This window comes from Homo sapiens, chromosome 7 (genome assembly GCF_000001405.40).
Source record: "Homo sapiens chromosome 7, GRCh38.p14 Primary Assembly".
Classification (NCBI taxonomy): domain Eukaryota; kingdom Metazoa; phylum Chordata; class Mammalia; order Primates; family Hominidae; genus Homo; species Homo sapiens.
This window is the reverse complement of record NC_000007.14, coordinates 150,967,063-150,984,360: the sequence shown is the minus strand read 5'-3', so window position 1 is coordinate 150,984,360 and position 17,298 is coordinate 150,967,063. Positions and strand designations below refer to the sequence as shown.

Sequence of the window (17,298 nt, the reverse complement as noted above, 5' to 3'; positions counted from 1 at the left end):
GGTTTATTCATATCTTTTCCTGATGGCTGTCAGAGGAGTGAGGGAGGAAGGCACACTCTGAAAGCACATGAGACATGGTTTTCTCAGCATTGACTGGCAAACCCAGCTCTTGCTTCACCCCGTGCTGCCTCCAGGAGCTACTGTCCAGCTCCAGAGGCATTTTCAGGATTTGGGGTGACCATCTAATGCACTGTGTCCTGAAGAGTGCCTCAGTCTTGTCACCTGGGCTGCCCTCCCTGGTTTTCTGCTGAGCCTGCCGTAAAGTATTTTCAGCACCTTGGACAGAGACAAAGCTCCAACCTGGCTGGAGGCATTGAGTAGCCAAGTGAGCTTGGGATCTCCTCCAGGGCCAGCTTTCCTGGCAAGGTTGCCCAAAGCATGTCTTGGTTCTTCATATTTTTTAATCCTTTGAAGGCACTCAAAAATAAACCCCCTAATATATGTCAAAACAGTGCACTAGTTCTGCAAACTCTCAGGGCATTTTTTAAAACAAAACCAACCTATTTTCTAGAATAGTGTTAGGTACACATTAGGTGCTTAGTAAATACATTTAAAAAGGAATACATGCAAATTCAACCTTCAGACAAATGTCCCAGCCTCCTTATAATAGGATTCTTTCTCCCCATCAGTCCCTCCTATATAGTAATTCTGGAGCTTCTAGTACTTGCTAAGTTTTGCAGCCTCACTTGAAGCCCCTTCTTGTGTCTAAAAATCCCAGTCTTTAAATCAAAGGAACAGATGACTATTAAGTTTTCAGGCAGAGGAAACTGAAACTGGCCCCTTCTCTTTCTCATCTGGGGGTAAGTATAGATTGGTGGGGAAACCCACACCTGACTCCTCTTGGGATCTTGCTTTATGAAGATGTTCACCACCTTCCTTTGTACCTGAGAAAGCCCTTACCATGCAGAAGGACCAAAATCGCCCAGGAAATTTTCCGAGCTGACCCAGCCCACTCAGAGCCCTCCTTCTTCTGAACACCCCTCCACGTATCCTCAACATCACCAGATTGTTCTTCTGACATTTCATATCCAAGTTTTTTCATGCCTATTGGTTCTTTTCCCGGTTAGATAATGAATTCCCTGTGTTTGTGGTTTCCAGTTAGATGCTACTGTGATGCAAACACAGCAGATAAAATGGGAGATTGATCAGTCTTGGGGGCTTCTATCTTGTCCTAAGGGGTCTCCTGCACCACTTATTTTTAGTCTGACATAAATATGCAGGATGGATCATGGTGCTATTTGTGGAGTAACCATTGGCTCCAAGTGCACCCAGGATGAGAGAGCAGAGGCAAGAGGTGGAGGTGAAGATGGCTATTGAGGAGAAACAGAGGAACCACTCATGGGTGGGTGTGTTGCTGTGTGGAATTAAGGAATCACTCACTGCTAGAGCTGGACGGGATCTCAGAGATCAGCTTGTTTGGTCTCCTCATTTTACAGGTAAGGAAAGTGAGATTTAGTGGTACTCCTAAAGTTACACAACAAATGGGCCCTTTTCCATCACCTCTGACCTGGTTCAAGTGTTGGGCATCTCTCCCTTGGACTATTGTATTGCTCTATGTGGCAGATGATATTTTCCCAAGGTGGTCGTGCCAATACATATGCTTTTCTTCCAGTGTGACAGCAACACCCCTCCACTGAGAGGTGGGGGTCTGTGTTTGTTCTCCTTGCATCTGATGGGTCACGATTACAGCAGAAGTTGTTTTATGTGATTTTTTAAGGCTAAGTTATTCAAGGAGATACAGCTGCTGACTGGTCTTCTCTTGGGACACTGGCCCTTGGAACACAGCCACCATGCTGTGAGGGAGCCAAGTGGCCACACAGAAGGGCGTTGTGTAGCTGTCTGGCCCCAGTCCTAGCTGAGGTCCCAGCCAACAGCCAGCACCAACCACCAAACGTAAGTAGATGAACCTTCCAGTCTCTAGTTTGGAGTAAAGCAGAGAAAAGTGGTCCTGGTGGAAACTACCCCAGTTGCAAATCCATGAGCAAAATATATCCAACTAAACCACTGGATCTTGGGATGGCTGTTATGCAGCAATAGGTAATGGAAAAACCTCATATCCACCTCATTTTCTCCAAACTATTATACACGTTTCATTCAATCAACAAACCTTTCTTGGATACCTACTCTTTGCCAGGGTCTGTACAAAGACAGAATATTTACATTCATGGATTCTGCATTCAGCTGCCACTACTGTTTCCTTACTGTTTCCTGCCACTACTGTGTCCCCCTTGCAGAGATAATAAAATTCATAGTCCTCATCCCTCTGCAAATGGTGCCAGCCTGCTGCTCCACTGCCACCACATCAAATTATTTTGTCCTCAGACCCAATCTCCATTCTCCTTTCTTTATATATCCTTATGTTGTCTCTTCTATCTGCAATGCTTCTGCCCTGCCCCACCTCCAACGTTCAAGGACCTGCACTGAAATCTCCTTCCCTGGCAAGGCCCTCCAAGACTCCTCCGGTTGAAATTAACCAACACCTCCTCGTAATCCCACAGCACTGACTGCAGACTGCAGTTTCTGTCTGCCCACCGTCTCCCTCAAAACTCACTAGACTGTGAATCCCTGGAGGAGGGATCCTGGCTTATCCCTCTTGTCCCCCAGCAGTGTCTGGCACAGGGCCCAGTACTTAGAAAGCCCCCAGTAAACACTTGTCGATGCAACTAGTAGCAGAACCAGAATTAGAAGTCAGATCTCCCGAATCCTAGTCTCCAGGGCCTTACTTGCTTCTTTTGACACCACAAAGGCAGGGAAAATGTCCCACCAAAGGTGGGGATCAGGTTGTCCAGAGAAGACCTTGGAATGGACCAGGGGTTGGCAGGATTGCTACATGTGGAGCTGCAGAGGGCGATGAGTGAAGAGTGTCCTGGCTCTTGGCTAGGGGTTTCAGGCGGGTTCCTTCCATCCTTTCTTCCTTCTTTCTTTCCTTCCTACTTCCCTTCTTTCTATCAATAAGCCCTGATCATCCACTTCTGGAGGGGAAACATGCTGTTTCTTTGATTCTTTTCTTCTCCAACTCCAGTTCACATCTGAAAAAAATCTCTATTCTGGGGACCCAGTTGCACAGAAAAACAAAAAAAACCCACCGTGTTCAAGCATCAAGGGACCTGCTCACTCTGTTCTTCCTTCCCCAGGGTTTCCCAGGAACCATTGCTCTGTAACCTGTCTCTCCTGTGCCCAGCCGACTGGAACTGCTTCCCAATCCCCTGTGGGTAACCCCAGGCTCTCCTGGGCCTGACTTTGGTGGTGTCTTGCCTGGCCCGCTCCTTGGGGGACCTCTGGCAGAGTGGGCTTCCATTTCTCTTTCTCCTTCCAGGATGTCCTGGCTCCATGCCTTCGGACTGAGCAGGAGCAGAGAGCAGGGTGGGTAGGATGCTTTCTGCAGACTTTTCTCCCTAAATTGTTTCTTTTTGGGAGCTGGGAGGAGCCTGGATATCTCACTGTAGCCTCTCTGTTCCCTCAGTCACAGGCAGGGTGCGGGAGAGCTCTTCCCAGGAATGGTCTCTGAAATGGCTCTTGGAGCTGAGATGGGGGTGGGGCAGATTCTAGAGGCTTAACAGCCCAGCTCTTGGTATTAGGGTTGGGCACTTTTCTCTTTGTCCCAGATCTGGGGGTAGCAGAGGTGGGAAGTTGAAGGCAGTGGGGGCTTCTCCATCAGCTCATCTGAGGCCCAGAAATGTTGCTTTGGGGAGAGCTTGCCCCCTCTCACCGTTTCTCTTCCTCAGCTCAATTCTTGAGTGTGGGGGCGGCTAAGTGGGTCTGCCTTCAGGCTCTACCCTGAGCCTCCAAGGAAGTCAGAAATCTACATTCAGCTTTGACTTCTGAGTATGTGGAGTGGGCTGGGGGGAGAGAGGGAGAGATCTGTCTCTCCTCAGCTTGAGGGAACAGCTCTCTTCTTGCCTCTGTGCACAGAAGGAGGGCTACCCCGTGCCTGGGCTCCTCTCTGTTTGGGAGGATGAAGGGCTCCTCTGACTCCTGTCTTCCCTTTGGGATAAGAGCAGAGGCCTGTCCCAGCAACACGGGTACAGGAGTGGAGGACAGCTGGCCAGCTCAGATGAGTGGCTCCTTCCCTTCAGGGCCTGGCTCTCCCTCTCCCTTGGTCTGGAGAGAGGGGGAGGCTACAGATGTCCCTTTCCCTTCTTGCCCTCCCATGCCCATTCTCAGCTGCTGGCCTTTGCTCACTTTCTCTCCATCCCCTGGCCTGGACAGGAGGACACTTCACTCACACATGAATCATCCTGGATTCATGGTAGGCAACCCAGCAGCCAGGGGTGGCCTTGGGGCGTGGCGGGGGCTGGGCCAGTCGTGGACTAGGTTCTACCCGGAACCCAGATGTGTTGATGCACCTGATGCCAAATGCTACACCAAGGAGGAGCTTGTGCTGTGGAAGGCCCTGGGCCCCCGGGGGGGTGAGTGAGGAAACTGCTGGCAGTGGAGAGGGCCTGAGGAATAACTGCACAGGCAAGAGCCTCTGGACTTTTTTAGCATCAGCTGTGGAGCCACCTCCTTCTCTCCCACTGGCTGCCTCCCTGAGTCACTGCCCACCCACCAGCAAATAAAAAAGAGTGTCATCTGCTGGCCAGTGGCCCCATTTGGCCCCAGTGTTTGCATCTTTGTGCTCCTGGGTGGAAGGTGAGAGTCCGGGTAGGGTGGTCTCACGACGACAGTTTTCTGCGCCTTCCTCCTTCGGGACTCCGATTCCTTCCCTGCCCTTTGTTCTTCCCCTCCCCCCATGATGGTTCTCGCTGGTGACAAGACCCAGCCCCTGCTCCAAGGACAGAGGCAGCTGCAAGCCCTCAGGAGCCCCCACATGGCCCCATCCATCTAGACAGGTCTCTGATCCGGCTGCAGGGAGGGGACCCTCGGCTGTTCAGCTGCGACTCCTCCCTCCCCGCCCGCCCACTCAGCTGTCAACACTCGCCTCCCCGCCCTGGCCTTCCCGGGGCCCTGCCTGACTGCTAAGTCCGAGGACACCGCGCCCGGAGACCCTCACTCAGACGCAAGCAGGCGATGAGCAGGCGGCGGGGCAGACACCCCGCCTGCCCTTGAGCATCCCTAGGCCTCCTTGCCTAAATAAGGGAGCCGCAGCTGGAGCGAGCCAGCTGGCCGGGGGGAGGGGCCTGCGGCTAGGCCAGGGCTTTCCGAGGGGCTGGGCCGTGGCCGCCGCCGCAGGGCCCCGAGCCCGCCGATTGGGCGTGCAAGGCTGGCCCCGGGCTGCCGGGGGAGGGCGGGCCGCTCGCACCCGGGGATCCCCTGGTTGGAACCTCGCGCTCAGGGACCTCTCTTTGATCCTGCAGCTAGGAGGCCGCAACTGCTGTCAGAATGTCCCTCTCTGTGCAGCTCCTATGCAGAGCCCCACAGAGGGCTCTCTCTCTCTCCGTGTGTGTGTGTGTATGTGTGTGTGTGTGTGTGTGTGTGTGTGTGTGTGTATGTGTGTGTGTGTGTGTGTGTGTGTGTGTGTGTGTGTGTTGGGGCAGGGGGCGTGCCCCTTCTAAGTTTAACCCTCCCTTATTTCAGAGCTCTGCTGCTCTGGGGCCTTCAGATTGTCTTGCTTTTCCTATTTCCAGGGTCTCCCTTGACTCCGGGCTCGTCTTCGAGGGTCCAGGCGTTGCCCCGGTCACCCACAGTAGGCACTGAGCGCGTGCTGTGTATACCAAGCCAGTGCTCGGCGTGGTGGGGAACCAGGGCATAAGGACCCGCCGTTTCCCTTCAAATCAGGTTTCTTAGTCGCTAATCTGGGGTGGGGGTGGAATCCCTTCCCCCATCCCGGCCGCCTACAAGCCGGCCATGGCACCTGTCCTCACGGTTTCCCCTGCCTAAGGGTCCCTTCCCCCTCTTCTGGGCGCGCGAGTCCCAGGGGCTCCTTGGCAGAGCGAGGGGCTGGCGTTGGGGGAGCACTCGGCGCGGCTCAGCCAATGGGAAGGTCGGGCGCGCGCGGTGGGGCGGGATGGGGGGGGGAGAGGGCGGTGCTGCGGGCGCGCGGCAGGCGGGAGGGGGCCGGGAGGCGGGGGCCGGAGCCGGAGGGGCGCGCGCCGCATTAACCCTTCCGCGGCCGGGCCGAGCCGCAGGCGCTGCCCGAGCCGCGGGCGCTGGAGCGGCTGTCGGCGCGGTGGCAGGCGGGAGCCAGGAGTCCGGGGCTCGGGCGGGCGGAGCGCAGCGCGGGGACGCGGCGGAGCGGGCCCCGCGGCTCGGCGGGGGCCGGCAGACAGGTGTGCCGGCGGCGGGCGGCTCGCGCTCAGGCGGCTCCAGGCCGGGCCCGGGGTCCGGAGCGGGGAGCCGGGAGCCGAGCGAGGACCCGGCGCCCGCAGTCCAGTCTTGGCCGCGCCCGTGCTCGGCTTGGCCGCGGGGTGCGGGGACCACGGCCCGGCCGGGCCACCCGAAGCCTAGTGCTGGGCCGGGCCGGGCCGGGGTGGGTGGGGGCCCGCCCGGCCCGCCCATGGGCTCAGGATGCCGGTGCGGAGGGGCCACGTCGCGCCGCAGAACACCTTCCTGGACACCATCATCCGCAAGTTTGAGGGCCAGAGTGAGTGGGGGAGGGGGCTGAGCGGGGAGGGGGCTCTGGGGGCGGGCCGAGCTCTTCCGAGTGTGGATGGGGGGGCGTGCCCGGGCCGTGTGCGTCGGCAAGTGCGAGTCAATGGGGCCTGGTGGGCCCCAGGCTTTGGCGAGGGGACGGCGGGGGCAAGGCTTGGTGCACCGGGGCCGTGGGCACCGGGCCAAAGGGTTTGGGGTTGGGGCTTGGGGCGGGAAACTCAGCTCAGGCTTTTGGGATCGGAGTGTGTGTGACACGCTGAGTGTGCAGGGAAGGGATGTGGGATGGAGTGTGCAGGTGTCCCCAACTCTGGGTGCGTGGACGTGGATGGGGCTGTGTGCAAGGGCATAAGAGTGTGTACGACCCAAACCCTGGGATCCCGAGAGTCCAGCGCGCACACTGGTCTTGCCAGATCTTGACTGTGTTGTGCCGGAGGGACTGAAAAGCCGTGGATGCAGGGTCAGCTCATAATCTCTTCTTGTGTGTGCCGTGTGTATATAACCCTGAGCCCATGTGTCACCCGTGAGTTAGACCCTGTATGGGCGGTGGGGAGGTGTCTTTGACAAGGCTGCGAGCTTGTGGGCTCTGTGGAGACAGGGTGTCCTGGGGCTAGAGCTGGGCTTTGAGGGTAAGCAGCTCCCTGTGGTACCCCCAAGTTGTGGGTTTTCTTGCCCTGGAGACTGTCACCTAATTCCCTTATGGGGACCGGGAGTACAGCACCCCTAATGCCTGCCTGGTAGGGAGGCTTCTAGAAGGGTCCCAGATTAGGCAAATGTCCTGGGGGTGGGCAGCATTCATGTGCCTGTCCCTAAGGCTGCATGAGCCACAGTGGGTGTGACTGCCAAGGGCCCTGGGAGTTGGGAGAGGATGACATTCCTTGTCCATGACCCTGTGAGCACAGGACAACGCGTGCTTGTAACGGTGGTTGGGGGAAGGAGGGGTCAGTCCGATGGTCAGTATTGTGTGAAGCGGAGGAACAAGATGATCCTGAGGGGGTGGAGACAATGACACTGGTTGAGGGCCTCCCTGAGAGGTGGGGGTGGGCCCAGGGGGAGGCTGTGGGCGGGCCTACGAGGAGGCTGGGATGGATGTGGGGGGGGGTGCTGGATTCTAGCCCTACCTTTGCCACTGACTGCCATGTGACCTTGAGTGACTCTTCCCTCTTTGGGTCTCAGGTTCCAGGTCTGTGGAGGAGGGGCAGGCTTTCTGTCCCATCCCTGTATTCCAGGATCTCAGTGAAGGGTGTGTGGTGGGGTGGGGCATGCCTTCGAAGAAACTTGCTCTTCTTTCCCCAGCCTGGGAGAGAGGACAAGGGGTGGTTTTTCTTCTATGAAGCTGGGGTGTGTGGCTGGGCCTCTGGACTGCCTTGGACTGTGGCAGAGCTGGAGGCCGAGTTAGGGGGTCTTTTCAGGTGACAGGAAACCCTGACTCCTGGAATTGATGGCTGCCTGGGAGGTCTGGGGGGCCTTGGGAACTGGCCAAAAGATGAACCAGTTCCAAAAGGCAACTTTCTGGGGGCCAGGGGAAGGGAGAATCGAGAAAGGTGGGAGGAGGCCAAGTCCTGATGGCCTGGGCCTATCTCAGGGTGCCCTGCTGCAGCCCAGCTTTGCACGTAGGATTGCCTAGGGCTGCAACCTGAGGGCTATGCTTGCTGGGGAGGGGAGGGGAAGGGAGGGGGAGAATTCCAACTGCTACTGAAAGCCCCAGCATTACAGGCCAAAGTGGCCGGAAACTTCTGTTTATAAAAAGCTCTTATCCCAGGAGCATCTTGCCTGGCACAAGTGAGGCTGCTGCCTGCCTGCTGCTCACTCGCCAGCCTGGCTCTCCGGGCAGGCCTGGAGTCAGGGAGCCAAGTCTGGCAGAAATGGAACCATGGGGGTGCTCATCCAGGATGAGGCCAAACTGAGGAAGGCCTCACATCCCTGGGCAGGTCCCCTTTCTTGGGTCTGTTTTCCTACAAGTGGGGCCAAAGTCTCAGGCCCCGCCCAGGCTCCAGGTGTGTCCAGGGTTTGGAGCTGCAGGTCCCTCTCTTTGCTTCCTATGACCTTGGGCTTCTGCCTGTGACCCTCAGCTTATTCTTCTGCCTCTGCCAGACCAAGGTTCAAAAGCTGGCTCTATCATTTACAAGCTGCAAGACTTGGGCATGGTGCCGAACTTCTCTGGAGCCTTGGTTTCTTCATCTATAAAAGGAGGATAATAACACCTACCTTATGGGGTTGTCAGAGGACCTAATGAGATGCAGCGTCCTTAGGTGTTCAACGTGTAACTTCCCTCATCCTCTCTGGCACACCCACCCCTCAGCTCCTGACTGCCCTTGGGGCGGGGGTGGTGTGCAGAAGTTCTAGGGGGTACTGACCTGGTAGGATCCTCAGATAATCGGGGAGTGATTTCCTAGGGAGCCTCAGGATAAGGAGTGGCTCAGGGAGCGCCCCCCAGTCTGGAGAGCAGGGAAATTAAAAGCAGAATCCAGAGAGCCGATGCAAAGGGAATCCTGGCCGCCATCTCTGGCCTTTCCCAGGCTCCCTTTCTAGGCCCAGTGTTTATCCCTCCGCCGCGGCTGCTGACACGCGTTGCTGACACCCGCCAGGCTGGCCTCAGCCTCGGGCATGGAGGAGGCGGCGGGCTGCTGGCGGCCTGCCCGGGGGAAGCCACGCAGCCCGCCCGCGGGCCAGGCGGAGGAGGGGGCGCGCCGCGCGGCCCGGCCGGCCAGGCACCTGTATCGGGGCACACGCACAGCTGCGTTCGCCCCCTGCTGGGACCCCAGTCCCAGCCATGCTTCCTGTGGCGGGGAGTCCCCGGGCGGCTGTGTGAGTGGAGAATGTGGGGAAGGGCTGGGAGTCCCGGAGGCTGGGGTCCCCGCTCACGCGCACTCTCCTCCCCGCCCCCCTAGGCCGTAAGTTCATCATCGCCAACGCTCGGGTGGAGAACTGCGCCGTCATCTACTGCAACGACGGCTTCTGCGAGCTGTGCGGCTACTCGCGGGCCGAGGTGATGCAGCGACCCTGCACCTGCGACTTCCTGCACGGGCCGCGCACGCAGCGCCGCGCTGCCGCGCAGATCGCGCAGGCACTGCTGGGCGCCGAGGAGCGCAAAGTGGAAATCGCCTTCTACCGGAAAGATGGTAGGAGCGGGCCGGGGCGGGGCCACGACCAGGGGCGGGGTCAAGAGGGGCGGGACCACGGCGAGGGGCAGGGTGCGTGGGGGTGTGGGGGTGTGGGGGCGGCTGGAGAACGCCCCGAGCCCGGGCAGGGTTCTGTGGGGGTGTGACGCGGGCGGGGGCCCTGCGGTGTGCCTGTGGGAGGCGCGGTTCCGGGGCCTGCGCCTCACTCTGCTGAGATGGTTTTCAGGAGGGCAAAGGAGTTGCTAGGCTGTGGGTCTGGCTCCTCTGGTCCTTTTTTTCCCTGGGCAGGTGTGGGCACGTAGAGCAAGTTGGACTAGAGTTAGACCGAGCTGGGATGGCAGGTACGTGCGTGGATGGAGGTTAAAGGTCAGATTGGCAGTTGTGCGCTGACATCCGGGCACAGGCCCCTATCTACCTTAGGGCAGTTGCTGCCAGGTGACAGGTCTGGGAGATGTCATGGAGGGACAGGAGGGCTGCAGGACTCTGGCTGTCTCTGCTGCCCCCCTCCTGCCCTGCGCTTCAGCAGCACCTGGGGGAGGTGCGTGCCTCTCCCCGCAACCTCAGTTCCCTTTGTCTCAGCTGTCGAGCGCCCCGCCCTGCCACCCTCTCCTGCGCCAGGTGTCTTTACTCAGCCACCGCCTCCCAGCACAGCTGCTCTGGGCTTCCGGAGAGCGGATAAACAGAGCCCGGGGTGGGGCTGCTCCCACACCGTGAATGCCCTGTTGGGGTGGGCTCTGGTCAGGGCGGGCAGAGCAGGAGGACTGGGGTCCTGTGGGCAGAATCCGGCTGCAGAGGCGGCTCTGGAACGCGTGCAAACCTTGCTGCTTCCTAGCGTGTGTCCCATAAGCATTGACTCAACCCTTGTGAGCCTGGCAGGCACTAGGCTCTTGGAGATGGGCAGGACAGATGAGGCTCCTGCCCTCAGGGAGCTTGTCTGCTGTAGACAGTGAGCACGCTCTGCTTTCTGTTTGGGACCAGGCCAGCCAGCCCCATGTGCCAGCCCTGTGTGCTCAGGGTTGGCTGGGGTGGCCCTGCAAAGCTTTGCATCCTCCAGGCTGTGCTTTTGCAGGCGTGCACAGTCTGTGGCATCACTGGACGGCACTAGAGGGGGCATGGTCCCTGCACCCTGTGGAAGAAGGTTCGCTCACAGCAAATCAGGGTTCTAACTGGCAGGAGGCAGGGGCTGTGAGACTAGACTCAAACCCTGAAGGCAGTGGATGGTTTCTAGGGGCTAGACACTGGGCCAAATGCTTTACTTCTCTTATCTCAGGCACTCTTCACAACCCAGGGAGGTAGACACTACTGTTGTCTTCATTTTGGGGGATGAAGAAACTGAAGTTCACACAGTCACACAGCTAGAAAATAGCAGTTGGGAACGGAGCCCACATCTGTCTGACCGGAGCCCTGTGCGCTCTGTTCTGTCTGTCATATATTGAAAATGACACCAGGTAGTTGCAGGTCTATCTGTATGCTGTACATTATCTCATGTGAAATTTTATTGTAAAAGTTTGCCAACCACAGGTGTACTGAAAAGAATATGAACCCATAAGTCCTGGGTTTGTGTCTAAGACAATGCTGGAAATTATACACTACTGGACAAGTTGGTTGACTTCCCTGGGCCTGTTTCTACTTCTGGGATAACGTGCCTTGCTTTGGACCTTCACAAGGGTGCTGAGCTTTCATAGAGAGTGCCTGCAACGGGCCGTGCTCTGTAAACACGGTGCCAGTCCCACTACGATGTAGCTGTGCTGGGGATTTGGCCTCTTGGCAGCAGCGGCTGAGGGCTCTTTCCTTTGGCTGTGGTATGTGTGGAGTGCTCTTAGGTGGAGCTGGCCCTCCCTCCCAGTCTAGGCTGGCCCCTTCTGGAGAGGATGGCTATGGGCCCCCTTCTGCAGAGGAGTTATTGTGGGATCACCTAATCCAACCCATTCGACTTGCAGGTGGAAGGACGGAGAAGCAGAGGTCTGATGACCAGTGAATCAGTGGAAGGAGTGGGATTAGAACCCAGATCCCCAGCCCAAGTTCAAACTTGTCCCCTCTCCAGGTTACAACTCCAAAAAATGGGGCTGTGACCCAGAAAACTCTGTGCCAGCAATCTCTGTCTGTCCCCTTCTTCACTCTCACCTAGTTTCCACGGGGCTCAGGTGTCTCCTGTTGGCCAACAGGCTGGCCTGGCACTCAGCCACCTAGGACCCCATGTATCCTGGCATTCTAGGCCTGGGGTGATGCAGACAGATTTCCTCAGCCTCCGCTTCTTCTGCCTTGAAACACTCAGTCCCTCCTGTGATCCCCGGGACCTGGCTTGGGCTGCGTGTGTGCGTGCCTGTGTGTGTACTCACACATGGGCCTGGTAGGGAGGCGGAGGTGAGGAATGCCTGCGCCACCCCTTGTTTCTGTCCAGGCCTTTCTCAGGGTCTCTGCCTGGGCCAGCCTCGGGTAGGGGGAGCTGGGCAGGAGGTGGAGCCTTCTGCTGGCAGGCGCCGCCGTGGACAGCTGTGCTGTGTTGGTGCCTCTAGCCTTGCTCTGCGCAGTGTCAGGGCCTGGAGCCAGACAGCCCCATTATTTAGTTGCTGGGACTGCTGGGAGGTGGGGAGGCTAGACTGGGGGAGTGTGGGCTGAAGGGAGAGACATGAGGTGCCTGGGGCTCACTGGCCCTGTGCCCCTTGAAGTCAGGCCCGGGATTCAGGTGGAATTGGGGGCAGAGTCCAGTGGTGTGAGGCTGGCTGGCGGTAACATCCCCGCAAGGCCCTGGGGAGGCACCCCGGGCAGCAGGTGCTGGCTGGGTCCACACCTGTGCTCCCACATCGCCATGGGGGCTGTGGCTCCTCCTCTGCCAGTCCTCACAGAGTCCCTTCTCTCTGTCCCCCTGCATCCTCTCTGCTCTTTGTTCCTGCCTCTGCTCCCTGCTTCCCTGCCACCGTGCTCAGCCAGCCTGACTGTGCCCACCTTCTCGGCTCCTCTCTCACTCCCCACATCTCCTTGCCTTTGTCTTCTGCCTGCCTGGCTTACTCTCTGTCCCTTGGTCTTTATCTCCTCTCTGGTGCCTCCTCCTGTCTTCTTCCCTCGCCTCAGCACCCCGGAACCTTGCTCCTTGCCTCTCTCCCTCTCTCCCATTGTCCCCCACCCCTCGGAGCCTCTATCTGGAAGGCTCTGTCTGGCTGCTCATACCTCTGACTGGCCTGGCCTGGCTCCATGTCCCTGTGTCCCCGGGAGCTTGTGCGTGGGTGGGGACGGTGGTGTCTCTGGAGAGGAGTCTATTAGCTTCTCCACTCCAGCTGCAGGCCAGTTGCCATGGTAACAGGGTCAGAGGGCCCCCCACTGCAACAGCTGATGCTGCGGCTGTTGGGAGGGGGTGGGGACCTGCTGTCCAGGCCTGCTCCCCAGTGCACTGTGCCCAGGGCCTCAGAGGTGGCCCCACGCCCAGTGGGCTTCGGTCTGTCCCCGGCCTTGGAACCCAGCCTCCCCAGTGCTCCTGCAGGCCTCAGACCTCAGACTGCCTTGAAATCCTTAGTACCTCCTGTGATCAGCCCCACTCCTCTGGGCCTCCTGCCCTTCTCCGTCCCCCAAGGCCGTCTGTCCTGTCTTCTTCCTTGCCTTCTTCATTTCTTCCTGTGCCCATTCCTTTAAATCAGACGCCCTGCTCTTGTCACCACCACGCCTCACCTTCTCCCTCATGGCTGACCCCTCCCCAGCTCAGACACCCACTTTCTGCTTCTTTTCAGCCCCCTGGGTCTGAGCTGAGGATGAAAGAAGCTTTTCCTTGAAGGGGAGCCTTGAGGCTGGGAAGGCAGGTGGGACAGGGATTGGTGTATAAGTGGGTTTTCTTGTCTTGAGATAGGAGGCAGACCAGAGCGATCCCAGAGGATGGGGCTTAGACACAGGAGAACTTTTCCTGTGGCACTGAAGCTATCAGGGGAGCGCCCTTCATCATGGGGACAGCGGTGTTCCTATCCTTCTGGTCAAGGCCTGGTGCAGCCTGGAGACAGGGCTGAGTGGGAGAATCTGCAGGGCTGCCAGGTGCGGGCGGGGGTCCATGGGGGCCCTGCTTCCGAGCCAGTTGCCTCTTGCCCTGCAGCACCTTCCCTCCACCTTTCCCTTCTCTAGCTGGATCAGAGGCCTGTTGGAGGGGCTCCACGGGGGTCATTCCTGAGCTGCGGCTGTCTGTCCTGGTCTGCCGGGGCTGCAGTCTTCCTATCCCAGTCCTGCTCCAGGGGTGAGGCAGGCATGACGCAACTGAAGGGTGCTATCTACTCCTTGACCCACCCTGGGGTCTGGAGAGCGTCGGGAGAGCGGCTTCTCCGTGTTGCGTCTTCTGCAGCCCCCGGAGAGGAGCTATGTAAATATTTGCGAAGAGCTGTCTGAGATGGGAGCAGAGTTTGATGGTGGCCTTGGGCTCTGGGGAGGGGGGCCATGGGGCAGCAGAAGGGCCAGCTTGGGGGTGTGTGAGGGGGGAGACTGGGCCTCTTTTCTCCCCAGAGGTGGCTTCCTGGGTGGGGTGATTTTGGAGGTTCCAAGAAAGCCCTTCACATGTTGGTATTTCCCTGAAGCGTTCCTGAAACTCCTCCCTTAGAGAACTTCTGCGTTTAGAGTGCTCCTTTTTCCTTAAAAACACGTTCTCTCTCATTGCCCCCTCCCAGTATAGAGACAGAAAGTATTTAGCCCTTTAGTGTGAGGGAGTTTAACAGAACTTCCCTCCCGACGTGGGCAGGAGGGCCATGGGAGTCAGGGTCAGTAGAAGAGGGAGGGGTGCTGGGACAGGTGATGAATGTGGGGTGCTCCCCTAAAGTCCCCTCCATGTCCTTAGTCTTGCCCATAAAGATCTCTATGCTGTGGCCTGTGGTTGGCCTCAGATAAACCCCTCTCCTTTTTGGGTGCTTATCCAGGATGAGAAACACCTTGGGAGCCAGGCAGCCTTGGTCCTCCGCCTCCTGCAGTACTGGAGGAGGTTCCCTGTCCCTCTCCCCGCCACCAGGCCTTGAGCTCCAGGTGGGTGGAGAGCAGCCCATCTGCTTTGTTCTCTGTTGTATCTGCGTGCTCAGTGCACAGCGAGAGCTCGGCACTGTTTGCTGAATGAATGAATGAATGGGGTGGGCAGTGTGCTGCGTTGCAGGAGCCTTCCCTGGGAGTCAGGTGACTTGGCAGGAGTTTCCAGCTTGGTTACAGACTTGCTGTGTCTGGGAGTCCTCTAGCCTTGCTTTGCGTGGACATTGTGGGGCACAGGAGCATCTGGGGGCTCCCAGCTTCACCCTCAGAGGTGGACCGAGGAGGATGGGGTGGGGGGACAGAGTCTTAGAGCTGCCACAGAGAGCACAGCTGAGGTGGGGGTGATGCCACCTGACCAGCAGCACAAGGCACTTCTATTGTTGTGACTGCACTTTGTAGTTTGCAAACTGGGGAACCATGCTTTACCGCAGGTGGTCCTCATGGCCCTGTGAAAGGCAGGATTCCTCTCCGTCACTTTATGGGAGGGAAGCTCTTGCTTAGAAAGGCTGAGGCACTTGCCCAAGTTTACCCAGCTGGCGGGTGGCCTGAGTGGGAACCCGAGCCTAGCTGTCCCCTCCCTGCCCAGCGTGGAATGCCACTGCACCAGCTCTCTTGCCCCCAGAGAGCCCTTCTGGGGCATGATGGGCTCAGGGCCTCAGGAAACTTGGATTTTAGCTGGGGTCTGCAAACCTCCATTCCTCGTTTGCTAAGTGGGATCATAGCGCCTGTCCCTGATGCACTTTGGGGTGTGAGGGTGTTCCTGGAATGAGATGACAGACACCCACAAAGCAGCGTGCGGTGCCAGAGCTCATTCTCCTCGCCATGAAGCAGGGCGTCACCTAAGTGGCTGCAGCTCCTAGCCCGTGCTGTTGCAATCGTGGGAAATGAGCCTGATCCGGGGCCTCAGCACCCCTGCTCCTATGGTGCACCCCGCCCCATCCTGCATGCTGCCTGCCTCTCCCCTTCCCTCCCTGCAGGCTGCTGCTGGCCCCGGGTCCTGCCTCTCCCCCAAATAATTGAAACCACAGCATTTGTGTTATTGCTTTTTCCTTTCTCTTTCATTTTTTTCCTTTTCCCTTTTATCTCACTCTCCAGTCTCATTACCCTCCCCATAGGCAACCGTTCAAATGTACTTACTGTGAATGTGTTGCTTGCATATGTTCTTGCAAATGTGTATTTTGTCTGGATATATGCATATAGATTTAATTTATGTAAATGATATTGTGCTATATGTTGTATTTTGGTGTTCGCTTTTCTTACTTGGGAATGTGCTTTAAGTCCAGCTGGGTTGCTGTTCGACATCTAGTCTGTAGGTGCGTATTCAGTGGCATGCGGCCGCCACGCTTCACCCACCCACTCTCCCGGGGAGGGACCCCACAATGTCTCCAACTCCCAGCCACTGTAAATGAGGCTGTAGTGAATATCCTTGGACATGGTCCCTTCTGGACTTGGGTGAGGATGTCTGTGGGATACACGCCCGGGAGTGGAATTGCTGGATCGCGGGACATGTGGACACTTAACTAAGTACTGCCATGCCTGTCATCACCCTCCTTCTCAGAGCTCGAGATTCCCATACCCGCATATCTTGGCCACTCTCGACATTATCTACCTTTCTAAATTTTGCCAATCTAATAGGTGACAGTGATTTCTTGTTGCTTTAATTTGCATTCCTTTGATTTCTGTTGAGTCTGAGCATCTCTTAGGCCTGGTAGCCTCTTGGGCTTACTTTCCCGTGAATTGCCTGCTCATGTCCTTTGCTCATTTTAATTTTGACGTCGCCGTCTTTTGTCCTTGTTGATTTGCAGGAGTTGCTTGTGTACTCTAGAGATACCAATGCATACTGTTAAACATTCAGTGTATTCCAGATTTTAATTCCTTGTTGAACTGGAAACAGATATTGCAAATATCTTCTCCCATTCAGTCTCTCTTCAATTTATCCAACAAAGATACTTAATTTTGATGCAAACAAATTCATTGATTTTTAGCTTTGTTTGTACTTTTGAAGTGTCTCAGGCTGCAGAGGGTCTCCATTTTCTTCTGTTCTCTTAATTGTTTTGCTGTTCTCAGTTAGGTCTATAATCTATCCTGAGACTACCCCGTATGTGGTGTCAAGTAGGGATCGAGTTTTATTTTTTCCATGTAATGTGCCAACTTTCCCAACGCATCTTGTAAACAGTCTGTTCTTTTCCGCTGAATTGTGGGGCAGCCTTTATCAGGTTAATCTCCCACATAGCCATGAGTCTGTCCCTGTGCTCTCTGTTCTGTTCCAAATATTTATTTACTGGCTCTTGCATTGATATAGCTTAACAAAAACCTATAGCCTTCCGTATGTCTTAGCGTCTGCTGAGGCAAATCCTCTCTCTTCATTCTGTTTTTTAAAGGCTGACATAGCTATTTGTGGATCTCCCTTGTTCTTCATAAACTTTATTTATTAATTAATTAATTTTTTCAGATGGAGTCTTACTCTGTTGCCCAGGCTGGAGTGCAGTGGCATGATCTCGGCTCACTGCAGCCTCTGCCTCTTGGGTTCAAGCGATTCTCCTGTCTCAGCCTCCCGAGTAGCTGGGATTACAGGTGTGCACCACCACATCCGGCTAATTTTTGTATTTTTAGTAGAGACGGGGTTTCTCCATGTTGGCCAGGATGGTCTCGAACTCCTGACCTC

At 56.8% G+C, this 17,298-nt stretch overlaps 1 protein-coding gene and 1 long non-coding RNA gene across 10 annotated transcripts in view, besides 6 other annotated features; one reads left to right on the top strand and one right to left on the bottom strand.

Moving 5' to 3' along the window:
• Window positions 5,023-5,372: a silencer, noted in NCBI's record as "silent region_18788". NCBI's record gives its function as "represses an Ori minimal core promoter by ATAC-STARR-seq in GM12878 lymphoblastoid cells {active_cell/tissue: GM12878}" and the evidence as "EXISTENCE:reporter gene assay evidence [ECO:0000049][PMID:35858748]".
• KCNH2 (potassium voltage-gated channel subfamily H member 2) overlaps window positions 6,040-17,298 on the top strand; it is a 33,361-nt gene continuing 22,102 nt past the window's right edge. For 3 of the 9 annotated variants that reach the window (NR_176254.1, NM_000238.4, NM_172056.3), the window contains exons 1-2: window positions 6,040-6,523; window positions 9,420-9,650. Coding sequence is in view for 8 of the 9 variants with exons in the window: in NM_000238.4 (NP_000229.1) it covers window positions 6,448-6,523; window positions 9,420-9,650 (307 nt within the window). In the remaining variant the exon portion in view is untranslated. Of the gene's footprint in view, window positions 6,524-7,602; window positions 7,772-9,319; window positions 9,337-9,419; window positions 9,651-9,854; window positions 9,992-17,298 lie in introns of those variants that run through there. The other 6 variants (XM_047420348.1, XM_047420349.1, XM_017012196.2 and 3 more) reach the window with 4 other exon arrangements.
• On the bottom strand, window positions 7,006-9,043 carry LOC124901776 (uncharacterized). Its single transcript, XR_007060592.1, has 3 exons — window positions 8,886-9,043; window positions 7,650-7,825; window positions 7,006-7,516 (listed from the first exon to the last, which is right to left on the bottom strand). It is a non-coding gene; the product is annotated as an uncharacterized LOC124901776 (long non-coding RNA).
• Window positions 7,742-8,668: an enhancer, noted in NCBI's record as "H3K4me1 hESC enhancer chr7:150672781-150673707 (GRCh37/hg19 assembly coordinates)". NCBI's record gives its function as "activates a minimal SCP1, AML or CMV promoter by ChIP-STARR-seq in primed H9 embryonic stem cells {active_cell/tissue: H9 hESC(primed)}" and the evidence as "EXISTENCE:reporter gene assay evidence [ECO:0000049][PMID:30033119]".
• Window positions 9,146-9,295: a silencer, noted in NCBI's record as "silent region_18787". NCBI's record gives its function as "represses an Ori minimal core promoter by ATAC-STARR-seq in GM12878 lymphoblastoid cells {active_cell/tissue: GM12878}" and the evidence as "EXISTENCE:reporter gene assay evidence [ECO:0000049][PMID:35858748]".
• Window positions 9,686-9,735: a silencer, noted in NCBI's record as "silent region_18786". NCBI's record gives its function as "represses an Ori minimal core promoter by ATAC-STARR-seq in GM12878 lymphoblastoid cells {active_cell/tissue: GM12878}" and the evidence as "EXISTENCE:reporter gene assay evidence [ECO:0000049][PMID:35858748]".
• Window positions 9,836-9,905: a silencer, noted in NCBI's record as "silent region_18785". NCBI's record gives its function as "represses an Ori minimal core promoter by ATAC-STARR-seq in GM12878 lymphoblastoid cells {active_cell/tissue: GM12878}" and the evidence as "EXISTENCE:reporter gene assay evidence [ECO:0000049][PMID:35858748]".
• Window positions 11,807-12,320: an enhancer, noted in NCBI's record as "H3K4me1 hESC enhancer chr7:150669129-150669642 (GRCh37/hg19 assembly coordinates)". NCBI's record gives its function as "activates a minimal SCP1, AML or CMV promoter by ChIP-STARR-seq in naive H9 embryonic stem cells {active_cell/tissue: H9 hESC(naive)}" and the evidence as "EXISTENCE:reporter gene assay evidence [ECO:0000049][PMID:30033119]".